The following is a 20,033-nucleotide window of genomic DNA, read 5'->3' on the forward strand; positions in this document are numbered from 1 at the left end:
TCTTTTGTTAATCATTTTAGGTCAAGAAATAGTAGTTAACAAACATAGAGAATTTTTATAAAAGACCACTAGAACACCTTTGATTAGTTATTAGTTTAGTTGCTCACCAGGACTCTAAAGTTACTATAGCAATATTTAAAAATGATTAATGCTTTCCTAGAAATGTATTTGCTTACTAATTTTCCATTTAATGAATATTTTATATCATCTGCCATATGTTCAACATTCTATTTAGGTCTGGGATACACTAGTAATAACATATTGGGCATTTTTAACCTTTATGACACTTTAATTTGACAGATAATTATCTAAACAATTATTTAATTTCATAGACATTAGTGATATTAAAAATATTCAACATTCTAAAAGAATGCATAAAAGAAAGGCTTATTTTTGGGAAGTCAAAAGAGGCGCTCTTGAGGAAGCAATATTTAAATTTAAGTTTAAGAGAAAACTATGAGTGAATGAAGCAAAGATGTAGGTGAAAAAATGAAGAGCATTCTGGGTAAAATATGGATGAAAATGCTGTAAGACAGAAAAGGGCTTGACTAGTTCGTGGATCTAAAATAAGGTGGATGTGGTTGATGCCCAAGAAAGAAGTGGCAAGTGTGGAAGCTGAAGACATAAATAATAGCAAGACCATGAGAGTCTTCATTTTGTTCTTAGAATTTTTTATGCTAAAAATAATACAACACTAGGAACCATCAAACAGAGATTACAGTAGTCCAAATTTATAGTTTTCAAGATTTTTTTTGGTTCTGTGTAGAAACCAATTTTAAAACAAGTCCAAATTGGAGATGGGTGTGGCTTAGAAAAAGATGACAGAAAAGTTTATAGAGAGTTGGGGACAGTTTTAAAACCTGTTATAAAGGTAGAAACAACAGAATTTTGTGAGTGGTTTAATGTAGAAGTTTAAATAGGTATCATGAATTATTCATGGGTTTCTGGTATGAGATGCTGGTGGATCGGGTGCTTTACCACGAGAAGGAATCCTGGAAAAAGTAAACATCTACTACGGAAAATCAGCTATTAAAGTTGATGCATGTTTAGTTTTTCTGCCTTGGAACTAACAAATGGAAAAGTTAAGCAGGCTGTCAGTAATATTCATCTTTCTCTCACAGAAGAGTATAAGACTGTAGGTATCTAAACCCTTAGCCAGGCCTGCAAGATCTTCAAAGATCTGGTGCCTGGTAATGTATTTAGCTCTCGCTTGCCTTCCTACATATTATACCATTTGCTTCACCCTTGGTCTTCTGGTTCCCAAAATGCCCCAGCTTTGTCACTTGTTGTGCTGTCTTGTCTCGGTGCCTATACTTTTTGTTTTAGCAATCCCTCCTCTTCACCAGCCTAATTCCTATGCATCTTTCAAAAATAAGTGCAGAGATTATCTGCTCTAAACTATGACACAAAATTATGGCAGGCAATTGTTTTGGACTGAGCTCCTGCCCTGGGCCTAACAGATGAGACCAAACCAAAATGAAGTCACTCACACTAGATGCCACAAAACCAAACTGAAATTTTAAGCAAGCAAATAGACCCGTGAACAGACCAATACTTTCTGAAAGCAAGAGATTCCATTCTACCTGAGTCAGTGTAATAAAGAAGTCTCCTCTGCTTTAACCCTTACAAAGACAGTAATGTGAAGTAACCTAATATTAACCAATCTGCTTTTCCTTTCTATTATTATAAATTCATTGGTTACTGATGTTGAGATTGTTGCCAATAAATAAGGGGAACAATTACTCCTTGGGATGAACACTGGTATCAAATAATATATCTAACTCTTTTCAGTGATAAAGGGATCTTACGTTTTCAGAACTGAGGTATATTTGAAAGAAGAATAACTCTAAGCTGAATATAAGGGAGAAAATAAAGCCATATATATCTCTCAATTATTTTAGACAAAAGGCTATTTAAAAGCCTCAGTCAGTAGGGTAACAAACAGATCTAGAGAAGGATTGAAAAATATTTATTTCCTATCTCAATTGTGAAAAAAGTATCCTTGATAGGTGTTATTCTTTTATAATTTGAATGATTTTCAAACTGTACTAATACGAATTTCCTCTTAAGAGGTCATTAAGTCAGCCACATTGAGTTACAGTTATGTAGCAGAAGCAGGTGGAAGGTAAATTATTTCAGACTTTTACCTTCTGCAAGCAGGATACCAATGGAAAATTGCTAACCAATATTCCCATTAGAAAGGCCACAAAATGAAATGATAGGAAAATCGGATCAAAAGTAATAAAGTACTCTATGTTTCCATTTTCAAACTTCTTCTTCTAAAGCTGTTTTATTTATAGCCAGATAAAGGTATGATTGTAGCTATCTGTTAGTACTGAATGTCCAGGTATCTTAATCTCAAGTGATAGATGTGTCTCATGGATAACTAAAGGAGACATCATCATATACTTCTCATTTCTCCTGTTTGAAGGAGTCATTTATGATTTATTCACATCTACTGCCCTGTTCAAGCTGTTAGACGTGAGAGGTTGATGAACAAGAGGCTGGTTTTTGAGACACCAATACATACAAAGCTTAAAGAATAACAGAAAATAATAAACAACTGAGTGAATTTCTGATATCATAAATTATATATTATATTATTGAATTTTCCAACAAGATAAAAGATTCAGAGATTTTTCCAAAGATTGTCCCTTTTGTGTAACTTACAGTGTGTGGTACAAAGCTATTGGCATTCTGGAATTAAGATATTTAGAAAATGGACTTAGAGAATTACCAAGCAACAGTTGCAGCTAACCACTTCTAAAACTTTACAAAGTAGTTTCTTTCTCTTTAGAAACAAACCTCAACTTGTTGAGGAAGTCCTTTCCAGTTATCACATACTAATTGCATGTACTAAATCTATCTAATCGATTTACTTCAACTGATGAGGTGGTCTTAATAAATAATCAGACATTTAAAAATAAGTATGTTTTATATATGTCAGCAATGGTATGCAAGCAAATATTCTGGGGCCTTTTGGGAAAGAATACAGGAGTATAATCTACAGCATACCACTTAATATATCAAGTAGGATCTTGAATTAAAATTTCTTGATAAGCATAATAGAAACTAGATGATCTTACCCATGGGTGGGGTGAGGATAAGATATATTCAGACTGAGGGAACAAATAGGGTAAGTAATGGGGAGTGGTTAAAGGAGCTCACCATCCAGGCAACCAGTCAGCCATGAGGCTATATGCCTCCCTCTCTGGGAAATAATGCTTGATGTGTTTTTAATACCAGTGTGTTTCTGACAAAGAGTACTACGGTGGACTCTGCTTGAAAATTTCCAGCCAATTCTTTAAAGTAGTTTTTTGAATGAGTAAAGCAATTTTAAAGGCATCTTTTGTGCTTTGAATGAGGGAGAAAACTTGTTCCCCAATGCAAAACTTCTGCAGTATATTATGACAGAAAGAAAACTGGGTAGGAGGAATAAAACATGGGTGGTGTTTTGGCTCTAGCAATATTTTAATACCTTAAATGTCAGTTTCCTAACCTTCAAGATGAGAATGATGGATAATATTATGTCTATATCTAACGTTCCAAATGCACCATTAACATGGCTAAATAACTCTGCAGTAGAAAATTCAGAGACTGACAGAAGTGAGCAAATACATATATAATCACATCAATTTTATTATCCAGAGTACAATTTTATTATCCAGAGAAACTTCTCAAATGCAGATAGATATCCATTATTAGATACTGAAATCACTTAATGGATTCCAACCACCATTTACCAGAAAGAAATAGAATAGATAATACCAGACTACCCGGCAAGAAGTAAGGACAAATACTGTCTCTTGAAGCTTCTGTTGTGGTACGTTACATATGATAGATTTGTGTGTATGTGTTCTGGGTCATAGAGTAAATTATATTTATTTTCCATCAACATTGCTATTATTTTCAAGCCACTTAGTCACAGTGTCTTTATTTGAGCTTACGGAGAAAGGAAGCTTCCACTTACCTATAGTAGGGTCATGATAATCAGGGAACTGATGACTAATAAACTGCATTGTCATTGCTGAAAGAAAAAAAACACATTTTGTTTAATAAAAATTCACTAATTCATCAATAAGTTATTTACCAACATAGTCCACCAATCTTTTAAAAGGTTATGGTGAATAAGTTAGTTATGTGAGTGACTAATTTAATTTCACACAAAATGAAAACAATAAGACGAAGTTCTAGAGGGAAAAATGTGTCAGATAATGCCAGATACTTCTCTGAAATAAATATGTTCAAATTTTAAGTGTATTTCAATAAAAATGGTATTAGAGTAAAAATAAAGAAGCTCTTGACATAATGAAAATGTAAACCAGTTACAGAATCCCTCTTGACCTTCTCTGGTTGAACAGTTGGTAATGATGTGCAAGTCCCTTTCACCAAAGAATCTGTACATTCTCTGGGACTCTAAGTTTTTCATCTTTAAAGTGAATAGATACCCTCTGAAGTTCTTACGAACTATAAAGATATGTAATTACATTATTTTTGTCTTTAACTGTTCAAAATTAAAATTATTTCAGTTACTTTTATTTTGCCTAATTTATGTTATCGACCACCTTTTCTTCATTACTTTTTTTCTGTAATTCTGTACCCTCCACATTATTTCCAAACCTATGATTTTGTAAAACATTTGTAATATTTCTATTGTAAAGTATTTCCTCATGTGAATTTCCATTATTAGGAAGCAAAAGGAACTCTGAAGCAAAACAACAAACTTATATAAAAATAGTGTATAATAGCTCTTCTCTTTCTTTTTTCCTCACTTCTGCATGTGTGTTTGTTAACAGACTCTCTCCTTGAGCAAATTTTAGGTAAGATCCTAAGCCTTCTTCTCTACTAGGCCTCAAACATGGACCCTGTCCTTGCATTCTGGCTGGGTCTATATATCCCACTTGTCAAATCCTGCTAAGTCAGTTTAGAGAGACTCCTCCCCTGATATCTGATCCTCTGTCCTACCTTCAACAAGAATCCTGCTAAGTCAGTTTAGCAAGAATCTTCCTCCCCTTGATGTCTCCTCTTAGGAATTTTCCATGCACAGGTGTAACCCCTCCCCTCTCACCTTCCTCCTCCTCTGTGCCTTGCCTATACATCTCTGCATGTCCTTTCTGTGTTTGGAATTGAGCCCAGTTCTATACTGAGGACTCTTTTCCCTTATGGAAATAGTTCCTGGATTAAATTTATTTTTATTGCTTTAACTAGTGTCCAGCTCTGGTTGTTTTTAAGTGTGTACACACTTTAGCAAATATTCAGAGCAGAGAAGACTTAGTTACATTCAACAAACATGTGGAATGCGCTAGTCTGACCCTGCTGAGAAAAGCAAAGAAATGGAAACTGACCCAGTGGAAGAGAATTTCTGTTTTATGCTTTAACAATTGTTTACTTCCTTTATTTGCAGTGACAAAAGAAGTCTCTACATATAAGTATTACTCAATTTGACAGCTTTGGGCAAATTTTTGAAATGCAAATCAACGTTCCTTACAGATAGCCTGAGGAGTTAGAATACTTCAGGTAAACAAACTGAAAGCAACATGTTTATTAAGTGGATATGAAGAAGCATTTGGAAAATGCTTTTCCTGAGTTTTAAAATGGCAGTTGCCTCCCTCTCTTAGTTCCTGACTGAAGTTAGTTCCTGAACTTCAGTCAGGCTCCTCTGAACCCTCTTCTCACCTACACCTAAACTTTCGTACTTCCATATTCATCTTTTCATAACCCAGATTTAGCAAGAATACTGCTAAATCAGTTTAGAGAGCATCCCTTACCCTTGATATCTGATCATTCTCAATACCTGATCAAATTCTTCATCCCCACCACTCCTCAAGGAATATTTGATTTCCCTGCCTTCAGCAAGAATCTCATTAAATTTGTTTAACCAGAATCACCTCTTCTGGATATTTCTTAGTAATTTTTCCATCCACTGACCCCAATCCTGCTTCTCGGCTATACACCCGCCTTAGTGCTTGCTGTATTTTGGAACTAAGACCAGTTCTATATGTAGTTCTTTATCCTTTGCCATAGCTCCTGAATAAAATCTGTTCTTACCAATTTAACTAGTCTCTGGCTCTGATTTTCTTTAACAATGTTAAGAATGATTGATATCGCTACTCAAATGTCACACCATTCTATTCACACATTTAAACCTTCCTCTATCAGGTAGCAGTACACGATAGTCATGGAAGCTATCAAGAAGCAATAGAAAGAACTGTTATGGGCTAAGTTAATTGCTATGCAATTGGGAAGGAATTGTGGAGCCTGAAGAAATTTTGAACAAATTTAAGAAAGAAGATATGAAAGCATTTTAATAAATAATAGAAATATTTGGATATTAGACTTGAGAAACATACAGCCAACATCAGAAATAAATGAATCAGTCAGGGACTTACCTGTTACAGTTATTTATAAGAACACCTAGGCCGGGAGCAGTGGCTCACGCCTGTAATCCTAGCGCTTTGGGAGGCCAAGGCGGGTGGATCACCTGAGGTCAGGAGTCCTAGAACAGCCTGGCCAACATGGCGAAATCCCATCTCTACTAAAAATACGGAAATCAGCCGGGCGTGGTGGCGCATGCTTGTTATCCCAGCTACTCAGGAGGCTGAGGCAGGAGAATCACTTGAACCTGGGAGGTGGAGGTTGCAGTGAGCCGAAATTGTGCCCCTGCACTCCAGCCTGGGTGACACAGCCAGACTCCATCCCCCGCTACCTCCCCCCGCCAGCCTGCCCCGCAAAAACAAAACAAAACAAAACAAAAAGTATATATTTACATGATGGAGTTTGTGCTTTAATGGAAACCTGCTGCTTGTTGTATAATTGAAAAAAGCCCTTTAAATGTGGAATCTTCTGACCCACCGCTGAGACAGAATCAAAGCAAAAGGAGCCAGCTGAGCTTTGTTTCAGAATTCAAAAGATAATTTTAGAAAGATTGATTTGTATAAGTTTCTTTTGTGTTTTACAAAGTGGATCCCCTATAGGACATCTAACAGGCATTTCCATTTGGGGGAGATAATTTATAAAAAACAATTTTTGAAAAATCTCTCCTAAGTACCTATCAAGCTCAACCTGTTATCACACTGGAGAGAATCTGCTATCAGTCAGACTGGAGATTAAATTTTATTTCATTTTATGTTACACAGTTTTATATCCTTAGAAAATTGGCATTCTATTATTCCTTGCTAAAGAGCAACTTCATAAGAAACTCAAACAACATAATTCTATCCTTTTTTCAGATATTTTAATTGTACTGACTTTATAATATCTTAATACATTGGTTCTAAAAATCTAATAACAATGGTCTATCTTTTACTCCCAAAACATTCATTTATATACACACAAGAACACAATATTGAGAAATAGGTAACGATCAACATGTCCCAAGTAAGAACAGTTGTCCTAGAAAATACCAGCATAAGTCATAAATCAATATTTTGATCAGAATGTTAGAGTATCAATGAACAATGCAATTGTGAATTGTGGCTTTTATTATTTAAAAGTTTCCCTTATCTCATTTAATTATTTTTATCATTTTGGTCTGATCAAAGTTATAATCACTGCATTAACTTTGTTTCTATTTTGGGGGTTTATTCCTAATTTTTCTTTGAATTTACAATCGTAAATCACTGTGTTTCAGGAGGTTCTTGGTATATTACAGTGCTGGATTTTTTGTACCAATTTAAAATTTGTTTTATTTTAATAGGCAAGTTAAGTCCATTCACATTCTTGTACTCATGTTCTTATTCTTGTTTTAGTCTAAGGTTTAAAATTGAATATAATAAATCTTCATCAATTACCTATTTTTTTTCAAAGCTTTACCAATCTTCTCTTGATTGGATGGAGGAATATATACATATATATTTATGATAGAATTCATGGGTACAGTATTTCCAGGGTTCTTGCCTACTTAGAACTATTTTTCTATAGCCTTGATACTTACAAGACAACTTGGCTGGATATAAAATACTTGTCCTGCACTTTTCTGAACCATGTTAACTGTTTGGTCTGTTTTTCTGGAGATACTAAGGATTCTTTTTTCTTTATAGTCCGCTAGTTTTACTAAGTTATGTCTTGAAATTAATAGTTTCAGGCCGGACGCCGTGGCTCATGCCTGTAATCCCAGTACTTTGAGAGGCCAAGGCGGGCGGATCACGAGGTCAGGAGATCGAGACCATCCTGGCTAACATGGTGAAACCCCATCTTTACTAAAAATAAAAAAAAATGGGCTGGGCATGGTGGTGGGTGCCTGTAATCCTAGCTACTCGGGAGGCTGAGGCAGGAGAATAGTGTGAACCCGAGAGGCAGAGCTTGCAGTGAGAAGAGATTGCGCCACTGCACTCCAGCCTGGGCGACAGAGTGAGACTCTGTCTCAAAAAAAAAAAAAAGCAGTTTCAGATTTTTTTTTTCAGGTACAAGTGGGTCATTTCAATAAGTAAACACATATTTTCTTTAATTTCTAGAACTTTTTATTGAATCGTGGTTTTTTTTTTTTTTTACATATTGTTGTTTTTATTCTTCAAGGATTTGACTTTTTATGCTGTTGAATATTTTTTGCCTGGTTTTCATTTCTACCACATTTTCTCTGACTTTTTAGACCTTGTAAAAATTATTATTAATCACATGTTAATTCTCTTGATTGTTTCCCTGCTCTCCAAATGTTTCAGTTTTCATTCCAAACTATTCTCCCAAGGGTACCTTGTGATTTGTCCCTTATTTCTCAGATGATTTTGTCTTTTCCTACAATTTCTTTTTTCTCAGTATATATCTTCTTTAAGTTATTTCTGTTTCTGAGTTTTTCAATTTCTGATTCTGTGTTTAAATTCATCTACACACGATTATTTGAGGATGTTTAATTCAGTTAAGCTTCTTGTAGTACATGTCAATGCTTTGTTAAATTTTGGGGGAGAATATTTATTAGCTTAAAACAGTTGATTCCCTCTTCTTTTTTCTTCTTAGGGTAGTTTTGTATCATGTTTGTGTCACCTTTTTTTCTCTGTTTCTATGCATTACATATTCAGTTATCACATCAAGGGTGTTGTCTTCTCTCAGGTTAGTAAACTGCAGGATTTTTTTTTTTATTTCAAATTAGGTAACATTGACAGGTGGTGAGGATCATAGAAGTAATTGTCATATATTGTTTCTCTTTGTTTTCAACAGAATCTTTAGTTTTCTTCATTACCTTCCTACCTTTTCCTTCACTGCCACATCTTGAAGATGAATACCACTTTTCTACTTATTTCCATCTCCCTGAGAAGCAGATTGTCAGTTCTGGTTCTGTTTACTGTCAAGGACATTATCACTGCTGTGAAACATAAACTTTCAGACTAATTTTCAGTATTTTGGCAATTAGCGTTATATGGCTTTCTTTCAAAAGATGATTTTACCAATATTTCATTTAAGTACTTGACTTTCCTCTCCTCTTTTTCTCAGTCTTTTAAGTCTTCCCTCTTTCCATCCTGCACAACCACAGCCTTGTAATGGCACCAGAATTTCTGTTGACATTTTTTTTTCTTTTCTTTTTTTTTTTTTTTTGAGACTGAGTTTTGCTCCTGTTGGCCAGGCTGGAGTGCAATGGTGCGATCTAAGCTCACTGCAGGCCCCGCCTCCTGGGTTCAAGAAATTATCCTGCCTCAGCCTCCTGAGTAGCTGGGATTACAGGCATGTGACACCATGCCCGACTAATTTTGTATTTTTAATAGAGACAGGGTTTCTCCGTGTTGGTCAGGCTGGTCTCGAACTCCTGACCTCAGGTGATCCACCCTCCTTGGCCTCCCAAAATGCTGGGATTACAGGCGTGAGCCACCACACCTGACCTCTGCTTTATTTTTCTACTTAGAGGTAATTTGACATTCATGGCATAGATCACATGTGGTTTAATTGTACTTTTTGTTGGTACTTTGGCTCTGCGGAAGGATGTATGGAGAAATTCAGATTCAAGAGGCCAACTATATTCTCCTATTCATTTCTCACTGACCAGTAAACCCTTATGTGTAAGATGGAGCCCACAAAATTCTTGAAGTATAGATCTTCAAAACTTGATGCTGAAAATGAGTAATTAATTTTTTCATGGAGAATTTAGGTCAAATATGAACTAAACACAATATATTTAGTTTCTCTTCTTATCTATGCATCAGATTATTTCAATTAGAGGACTAGAATCTATTTGTCTAAAAAGGCCGAGAGAAAAGTGTAAGAAAGACTGTCACTGGATACCAATTTGGTCAAGACCGCTTAGAACAAGAAAAATCATGCTGTCCGTTCCAAAAGATTTTAAAGTTCACCCATAAAACACCTATTGAGCATCTACTGTGTGCTAGATATTGGCAATACCAAATAAATAGGTGGAACCCTTCAAATATAGTGAATTCTAGATGTGTTTTAGACATCCTGAATCAGAAAATTAAGCTGCATGCATGTGTGAGTGTGGGTAGTGGAGAGATTGATGGAAATAGGTGCCCTGGCATAAGTAGAATGTATAAGAACGCTATTTCCTAGCTCTGTCTTATAAAGAATTTATTAGTGCGAAAGGCAAATGGCTGAACAAGCTTTTGGTGTCTTTGCTGCAATTATTTTTCACTTATGTCAAATGCAACATAAGTTATGCTGGAAGATGACCATTGTGTTCTATGGAGTCTTTCCCAGATCCTCTCATCAAGTGGTCTCTCAGCCCTCAGAACTTCAAGGCCTCCTCTGAGTTCTTTATGAAAAATTGGCAGAAAAGTGAAGTAAGAGAATTCAGAGAATTGTGTGACAGAATGTTAAGTAAAAAAAGTGCCATAAATATTGTACATTACTGTATCCACAGTCTATTATCAAAACTCAGTTACTTGGCTCCTCCTAACTACTATGAGATGGGGGTGCATGTTAGGAAGAAAAGAAAACAGGTTTGCTGAACACATAGCAGGCTTCAGCATAAGGGGGAAAAGGATATTTAAAGGAAAGGTGGAAATGTCAAATGAAGGAAAATGAAATGTTATACTTTCCCCCCCAAAAAAAAATCATTTTCTGAAAAAAATAACTTTGGCTTTAATGTTACTCTGTATCTTACTAGCTTCTATAAGAAATGCTTCTAAATTATCTGAATAAGCCCCTTTTAATTTTTGATGAATATTAACAGAAATTATTATTAAAAACCATACTTTTAAAAATTTTTGTAGGGTGTAAAACCTACATGCTAGAAATATATGTATAATTATATTTATTGCTTTTAAAAATTAATTATCTAGATAGGAGTACATCTGAAATAATATGTGAAGCGTTTTTTCAGGTTAACTATGTGGTCATCATAAAAATATCTGGGAAAAGAAATAACAATAGGAGGCTTTTTCTACTTTATGCACATAAACGCTTCTTTGAAAGTTGGTTAGTGGCTTTATGGATACAAAGAAAGTGAAGAGTGTGTATGAGTAGAGAAGACATTGGGTCTGAATATTTGCAATCTTTATAAAAGTAATTAGGGATGAAAATAAAGAATGCTTAGTAGACTCAATAGCCCTTTGCTTTAACTTCTAAAATTATTACAGTTAATTTATTACCCTTGTATAGCAAGTAAGAATACTACCCTACCAGAGAAATGGACATTACTTAACGGTAAGCCCTGGATACTGTTAGGAAGTACCTGATGGATTTCATATCAAAGACCCTTTTTCTTTATTAGTGGCTATATCATTAACATATGTTATGTAAATGTAGTGTTTCCAAGGACTTTATAAAATATTCATTAAGTACATATAATAAATAATGGCCAAATGCATCTTAAATGTTCATACAATGGCAGTGGTGACAGATTAAAAACAATCATTTTTTAAAGCAAACACATTTTGTGTGGACGTCTTTTTTCATGCACATATTTTTATTTAAATTTCCATTTTATTATTCAGATATTCCCATAATTTACTATTTCATTTTAAAGTTAAATATAAGTCAACTGCTTCTTACTTTGCATAATTCAGTATTAAATCATCAAATTTACTTCTCTGAAAATCTGACAATATTATATATCACCCTCCTTGGAATGTCAGTGGTATTTGGCCAGAGGCAGAGACTGTCAGTTATGAAAGAGGAAAATTATAGAAAGGGGTTATTTCCTACAAAATAATATATATATATAGCATAAGATCATATAACTCATTATTCCTCCTCCAACCCACACCCACTCCTCCAAAAAATACTTGATATTTATGCGAAGTACTAAAGTAAAGCAATTTAGAGAATAATACAATCTAAAAACTCAAAGACAGAAGATGGCAAATCACTGCTTTCCCTTTGAGAATTGATGTCCTGTCAGTGAAATGGGAAAAATGAGATTGGGAGACAGGTCACTAAGATTTAGCCCCATTTGTCTTGGTTTTTGGGACCATGAAAAAATTACTCAAACTCTCTGACTTAATTTTCTCGTCTGAAAAATGTGAAGAGGGAAGAGAGATAACTTAAAACCGCCTCCAAATTAAGCATTCTGCAATACCTCTTTCTTCATTTAATTGTTACCATCATCACCATTCCTTCCTCATCTATTTAGGATCTGGTTATTTCTCTTGTACTTCAGTCCTCTATTTTAATCATTCTGTTTCTGTCACATTGGCCTTCAGAGTTTGTCATACCTTTCAGTAACACCCTTTCCCAAGGAGAGTCTTTGTTGGTGCTTCTACCTCTGCCTGGAGAACTCTCCTCCAGATACCTGCATGGCTTGCTCTATATTTCTTTCAGATTATTACTCACTTGGGCCTTCTCTGCGAGGTGTTCTCTCATTACTGAATTTAAATCAAAACCCATTCCTCCTCCTTGGAACTCCCTATGTTCCCTTGCTGGCATTCTTTCATTCAAAAATAGTATGTGTCAGACGCTGTTTAGATAGTTGGGATATGTCAATGGACAAAACAGATGAAGACCCTTGCCTTCTAAAGGTTTACATTTGAGAAGAAGATGGGGAGTTGTGGAGGAGGACAGCCAGTGAAATTACACACACATTTGCTTACACAGTAATAGTATGTTTAATGGTGACAACAGCAACAAAAAATAAAATTATTATAGCACTGTTATTAAAATAAACATTTATTATGGTAGGTAGGATAAAATTCTATGACAATTAGATAAATACAGCATTTTCAACAAGAATAAGAACCATGTACCATTTTCCACTATTAAATAACTTGTTCATATAGTTTATAAAAAAGATAATAATGAGTATTAAATTATTATGTCTTTTATGTCCAAATATATTTACAAGAAATTATAGGATTTTTATTGAAGACATCATTATTTAAAATAAGGCAGAAATTATATCTTTTAAAACAATTTAAATTTAGGATAATATTTTATATATCAATTTAAAAGTATTTAAGTTTGATTTATAACCTTACAAAATTCCTTGAAGGAACAATTTAACAAAATTGTTTTGAGAGCCATGCAGTAACTTGGTTAGGTTACAGAGCAATATCAAGGAATCAAATTGATTGGGCCATAGGACCCCAAAGCCAGACTCTTTCCATTGTGCTAATTGGTTTTCATTAATTCCTTCCTCTTACCTGAAAATTTATGCACCACGTGGGCCATTGATATTTGCTGAGTAATAACACACATGTACACTAAATGTTAATTTTTGAATGAATAAATAAATAAATGCATCTAAAATTAACTTTTGACTCAAAGTCAAATTAAGGTAAAAGCAGGGAGACTGGGCTGGGCCTGGTGGCTCACGCTTGTAACCCAGCACTTTGGGAGGCCAAGGCGGGCCGATTACCTGAGGTCAGGAGTTCAAGACCAGCCTGACCAACATGGAGAAACCCCGTCTCTATTAAAAATACAAAATTAGCCGGGCTTGGTGGCACATGTCTGTAATCCCAGCTACTCGGGAAGCTGAGGCAAGAGAATTGCTTCAATCAGGGAGGTGGAGGTTGCAGTGAGCTGAGATAGCTGAGATAGTGCCATTGCACTCCAGCCTGGGCAACAAGAGCGAAACTCCGTCTCAAACAAACAAATAAATAAATAAATCAAATAAATAAATAAATAAATAAAAGAAAGCAGGGAGAGTGTTCTTTTATTTTCCCCTCAGCACACATATTTACAAACATTTTCTAAATTGCATTGAGTTGAGGATCAGAAATAGAGCTACAAGAATCCATAGCACAGGATCTTTCCCAAGGAAGACATGCCCAGAGGAAGCATGGCAGAACAGCACCCAGCACCTAGGCAGCCAAGCTGCTGAGCACGGAGAATAAGACTGAGATAACCACCAACCTGGAATGGCCCCAAACAGGAGTGATAGGATCTTTTTAAAGTCAAGGTAAAAGGGAGGTACTAAGAATAGTAAAATAGGGTCCTTGTGGAGTTTGGTAAAGATCTCCTAATTCTCTTTGCAGCTTTTAATACTGACAATGTTGATCTTCTGTACTGAAAGAATGTTGAATCAGAAATTGGGTAAGAGGTATCCCGATCCCACTTTAATGACAGCTTTCATTTTTTTTCTAATTAATGCATTTCTACAATGAAAGAAGTTCTCCTCTGTTTTCTCTAGGAATAATACAGGTTCTAAATTTCTATAAAATTAACATTTAGAAAGGGGTATTCAGCACTGGTGGTTTGGTGCTTTCCAGATCAAAAGCATAATTCAGCATATTTATATTAAAGTAATGAAGCTCATTAATGCAGGCTAATACCAAACCTATACTTCCCAGAGTCAGAATTTCTGAACCAATTATTTTCTTAGAACAAATCCATCACAGTTCAAAGATGGGAAGGGAATCTGAGATTGTGATTTAATTTGTTTATTTAGTCATAAGACATTTACTGAAGGGCTGGTATGTCTACCTTTCTATAGGTGTGTGGTTATAGGATATGGATGGTTGAGAAGAAAAGGACTGAGATTTGGGGGTTGAGGGACAGATTAGAAAACAGCATCATTTGGTTGGGGAAATGGTGTTCAACTAAGCAGCTGGATGAGAGCAGCACCTTTTGCAATTCATCATTTCCCTGAGTGTTTTTCCTTCTATGGAATGTTCCCCTTTACTTTCTTGACATTTCCCCACAAACTCACTGCTAATGGAAAGAAATTGTGCTTTCCAGGACTTTAAAAACTCTATTCATCTTCACTGACTGATTTTCAAGGATGATTGATGAGACACAAAAAGGCAAAGAATATTAAAAACTAAATATTACCAGTCATTATTTATTTGCTGTATGCTGACAGTTTATTTTGAACTTAAACAAAGAAGAAAAATAGACATTTTCACTAATATTTTCTCAAGTATTTTATCATTTAGGATAAACCTCATCTCCTTAGGTAAATGAAATACCTAAGGAGTATTTCAGTATGCAGTGCCCTGCATACCTGTGCCAACATACGTAAATACAACTCTCTCTGTAGTGCCATTCTTACAGCATAATAACTAATGGAGACAATTACTGGAGTCTCATCTACATGAATGGGTGGTAGTAACTACAGACAATTCCAAAGCATTCAGATTTTAAAATGTGTATAATTTGTCACAGGAGTTATTGTAGATGTTAACATCTAATCCATATGAGAATTAACATTGTTATCATTTGCCACAATAAGAATTTACTCTGTCTTGACACCCTGATCCTGCAATGAAAACATTTTCTGATATTTCAGATAATCATGTTAGTAACTAATGGGCACCAACGTATACCCGGGGCTGAAGGTTTTACTTTCATTGGTTTAGAAGATTATCAAAGCATTAAGGCACCCGTGATTTAAGTGTTGTAATATCTGCATACATCCTAAGCATTTTCTTTTGTTTGATGAATCTCTATCCTACTTGTAACAATTTTGTAAAAACACTTTGAGAAGAGATCATAGAATAGTCAACTACCTACCTTATCAGAAGGGCATTGGGAGGGCACAAATAATATTTTTACCTCACCTCTAATATCTTTTTACCTCCTGCCTGGAACTTCCCATTTTGTGCCTTGTATCATGAATGTGTTTGGCTTCCTAGACTCTTTTCTTAAGACATCATTAGCTTCCCTCAGCTTCCATAGTCCTTCATGAAAAAAACTGAAAATGGAGGATGCACCATATCCTGAATAAAAGGCACACTCTTTCATGGCCTTATCTAGACCATATCTATTTAAATTAATTACGGTAATAATGGTGATAATCTTTATAATATTATATTTTCATAGGGTTATTTTGGTTTATACATTATTTTAACTGTATTTTTCTTTTCACAACATATGTGAAATGACATCAATCTAAAGGCAATGGCTAATAGGCTGGGTGTCAGATGCAAGATAGGCAGTCCTGATAGGCTGGAATGATGGGACAAACCCAGAAAGATAAAATGTAACAGAATCATGCAAAAATCTTGTATTTTAGTCAATAATCAATGTGACAATTACAAAACTACAAGAATGAGTCAGTGCTGTATGACATCTGTTCAAATGAAAAAAGATGTGGAGGTTAGGATCAGATCTACATAATTATCTGACACAACATAAAATTTGAAGGATTTGCACAGTTTTAGAACAGATTGTGACCACATTATTAATTTTCAACATATCACTTGTTGGTCCACTAGGCTGGATTTGTTATGGTGACACAAACACAACCACTGACTAGATCAGTCCCTGGACTGGATTTCATCTTGCCTCCACAGTAAACATGCTTCGGCTCCACACAGTACCCTGAGATGAGCTCTGCCTAAAGCTGGGCTGCTTCTACTGGCTTCTAGTCACCTGACAGGCAGAGGCCTTGGCTCCCTAGAGACTGCGAACATGGTGTCTGGCAGACAACACAGGGTCTTCCACAGTCAACATTTACAGAACTGAATCATACCTATTCTGTCTAGAGCAGTGGTTCTTAAAATATGGTAAAATAACCCTTAGGGTCTGAGAGGCCCTTTCATAGGGTAAATGAGGTTCTCCCTTTTCCCACTTGTCTGTATAAAACCAGCTTTCCTTATGTACTCAACCAAAACAACATACTTTAGTATATTGAACACAGAAACAGATAGACAAATGCAATTGTCTTTTAAGCTATGCATCCATGGATAATTTAAAACAAAACTTCAGTTTTAATTTATAGTATGGTAGATATCAATAAAAATAATTCACATAAACAAAGCTCTTCAGGGTGCTCAGTAATTTTCAAGTGTTTAGTGTGATCCTCAGATCAAAAAGTTTGAGTGCCACTGATCTAAGGTAAAACTTCACCCTTCCAAATAAAAAAAAGCTATAATTACTCACACATCAATTAATAAGTATTTCAAAAGCCTATAATCAAAGATGACACAATTTGAAAACATACTTGGACTAGTTGTCTGTATGACTCCAGATCATTTCTTTTTTCTCATTTCCTTTTATTTTTCTACCGTTTCTCCTTTCTCAATGTCATATATTCATGGCTATTGTGCTTATATCTCTCCCTTTTTTCTTATAATCTTCCGCTTTTTCACTCATTTTGTCCCTCTTGCCATATCCAACTATTTCTCTCAATACTCTTTCTCCCTTTCTAGAACTTGCTGTCATTTTTTGCTTTTCCACTTCACCATTATCTTACCTGTGCATAATATCAAATTATAGAATTAAAAATTAATGCTGTGCTTAATCAATAAAGTTTTAGTAAATTTCTGCCAAATCACTCCCTCTACTCTCATCCCAAGACAGCTAATATTAAAATTTTGGTGACTAAAAACCAAAACAACACCAAAAATAAATTTACAAGTTGTACTTAAATGTAATGCTTGCATTTTTCTCTTGATACGCTTTTCAGTATTCTTAGGAAAACATAAAGAGAAAATCAAGTTAAAATAAAATAAAATTATTATATTTATAAACTAACATATGAGGAGTCTACAAATGAGAAGAGTAAGCAAAATGTGAAGAAAAAGGAAGAAGTTTCTTTGAAAAGGTTTGAAGCCAGGGGCTCAGAGAGATGGAACATGCCAGGGAGCCATGAAATGGAGCATGGTTAGAAAATTTGGGACAATTTAATAATAGATGTCAAATTTAAAGTTTTGCTTGCTTTGTGTTTAAATTATACTCCTTTGTTTCTCCTCTTTAATAAATTACATTACACAAAAATATGAGGGGAGTTCTACTGTTTAAACCCATCATGGAGTGGAGGCTGACTGGTCAAAGAGGAGGGCAGCCTTGGAAGCTGAGAGCAAAAGTTGAAGTACATGAGGCCAATGAAATGGCTGCAGATGTGGGCTGACTCAGGGATAACCCACAGGGATCTGCGATCTATCAAATTTGGAATCACTAAAGGTACAAAGAAGGTATACTGTCACAATGTGTGTTATGCTGGGACCTGAACAATTCCATGGAGACATTTTCAGACTTTTAAGCCAGTTCCTTTAACAACCATTTTATTATATGGTTGTATTATATGGGTTCGCTAAATTCAAAGCTAACTGATGTCAGGCTCCTGTTTCTTTTGTATATCTATAACAATAATACTAGTGTTAAACATGACATTAAGTGTAGCATGTATTCATTAAAAATTGGTGACTGGTTCTCTGCTGATATAAATAAATGCATCAAATATTTTGAAACCAATAATTCAAAGAATTAGGTATTTAGGTTGTGAGATTACACAAAACTGTCAGTCTGGGAAAATGGTTAAGGAAACAAGTGCTAGAAGCTTAAGACATTTCCTGGATATTTACACATTATGTGGCTTTAGGAGAGTTATTAAGCAATTAGTTCTCTTTCATAGTTGCCTCATCTATAATGTAGGGTTAATAATAATACCCACTATGGGGTTGTTATGAAAAGTAAGTGAAACAATATATGTAAAGAACTTAAACTAGTGACCAGACAATCGTAAGTTCTTGATAAACATTTACTGAGTTTACTTTTAAACCATTTTATTTGGAATGACTCAAATGATTTGTCTTTTTCAATGTTTCATCATGGTCTCAGGGTCTATCTAGCTAAAATATGATGTTTTTTATAAAACCACAGCTCACATATGTTCATATGATGTTGTCCCATCTGTTTGAAATATTACATTTCAATCAACTGGTGTTTCGCTTTAATGAATACACCTTGTTTGATGTTCCTTATATTATCATGGGAATGCCAGTTGTTCATTTTTCTGTTGTTTAATTAATGAATTAGTAGAGAAGAGAATATAACCAACAATCTGGTTTCTAAAATTGTTTCAACCACATGTTAGACTGAATTGAAAAATAGTTTGAATCTAGAGTAGTCACTCCATTTATTACTTGGTTAGGGTTGTTTTCTGTTGCTAGCTCTTCTTAATACATAAATTGTAGCATCACTAGTATGGCACTCCAACTCTCTGGAGGAAAAGTTAAGTGAATTATGGAGAGAAAACTGGCAAACCAGCACTGACGGACATGATGATAGTGAATCTTGGCTTGTGAAATTCCAAAGACAGTGTGTAGTTCCCTTTCATAAACAATGACACAATAAGAACTACCGGGAAGTTGTCCAGGGTTTGATAGAAAGATCATTGAGCAACAGTGTCAGTGGAGCTAAATTCTCGTAACTTCAAATGCTGCTTCATTAAATTAATTCAGAGAAGTCACAATGACAGCTCTAGCTCAATTTCTTTAGTTCTAAATCACAAGCACTGTACTAGATATGTTCTTTTTATTTCCTGTACATTTAATCAACAAACAACTGCACGACAGCTAGGTCCTCTGTTAAGTTTTAGGGACACAGAGGTAAAAGGGGTAAATTCTATCTTCAAGGAACTCACAGCAGAATGAAGGATAAAAATTAAAAAGGTAATTACATCATTGTGCACTAAATGTTATGATAGTTAATTGCAGGTTCTAATTTAGCAAAGAAGAGGGAATGCACTCTAACCTTGGGGAGAATTAATTATTTCTCTGAGAAGGCAGGACATCCTGAATCTTGAATAGTGAATATGTATTAATAGTTAATGATGCACATGGGTAAGAAATAGAGGAAACTTACAGGCAAAGGAAATAGCATGTGCCGAAGTTCCAAAGGCTCAGGCAACAAGCGGTATTCAGGCATTTCTGCTAATTCAGTATAGATGGAGCTCAGACTGGATGTAAGGTGTACAGCTTGCAGATGGAGGC

At 35.0% G+C, this 20,033-nt stretch overlaps 1 protein-coding gene across 2 annotated transcripts in view; it reads right to left on the bottom strand.

Annotated features, from left to right (window-relative positions):
- Positions 1–20,033, bottom strand: part of RIT2 (Ras like without CAAX 2) — a 372,459-nt gene that overhangs the window by 286,614 nt on the left and 65,812 nt on the right. For both annotated transcript variants that reach the window (NM_002930.4, NM_001272077.2), the window contains exon 2: positions 3,971–4,027. In NM_002930.4, coding sequence (NP_002921.1) covers positions 3,971–4,027 — 57 coding nt within the window. The remainder of the gene's footprint in view (positions 1–3,970; positions 4,028–20,033) is intronic.

This window comes from Homo sapiens, chromosome 18, assembly GCF_000001405.40.
Source record: "Homo sapiens chromosome 18, GRCh38.p14 Primary Assembly".
NCBI classification, from domain to species: domain Eukaryota; kingdom Metazoa; phylum Chordata; class Mammalia; order Primates; family Hominidae; genus Homo; species Homo sapiens.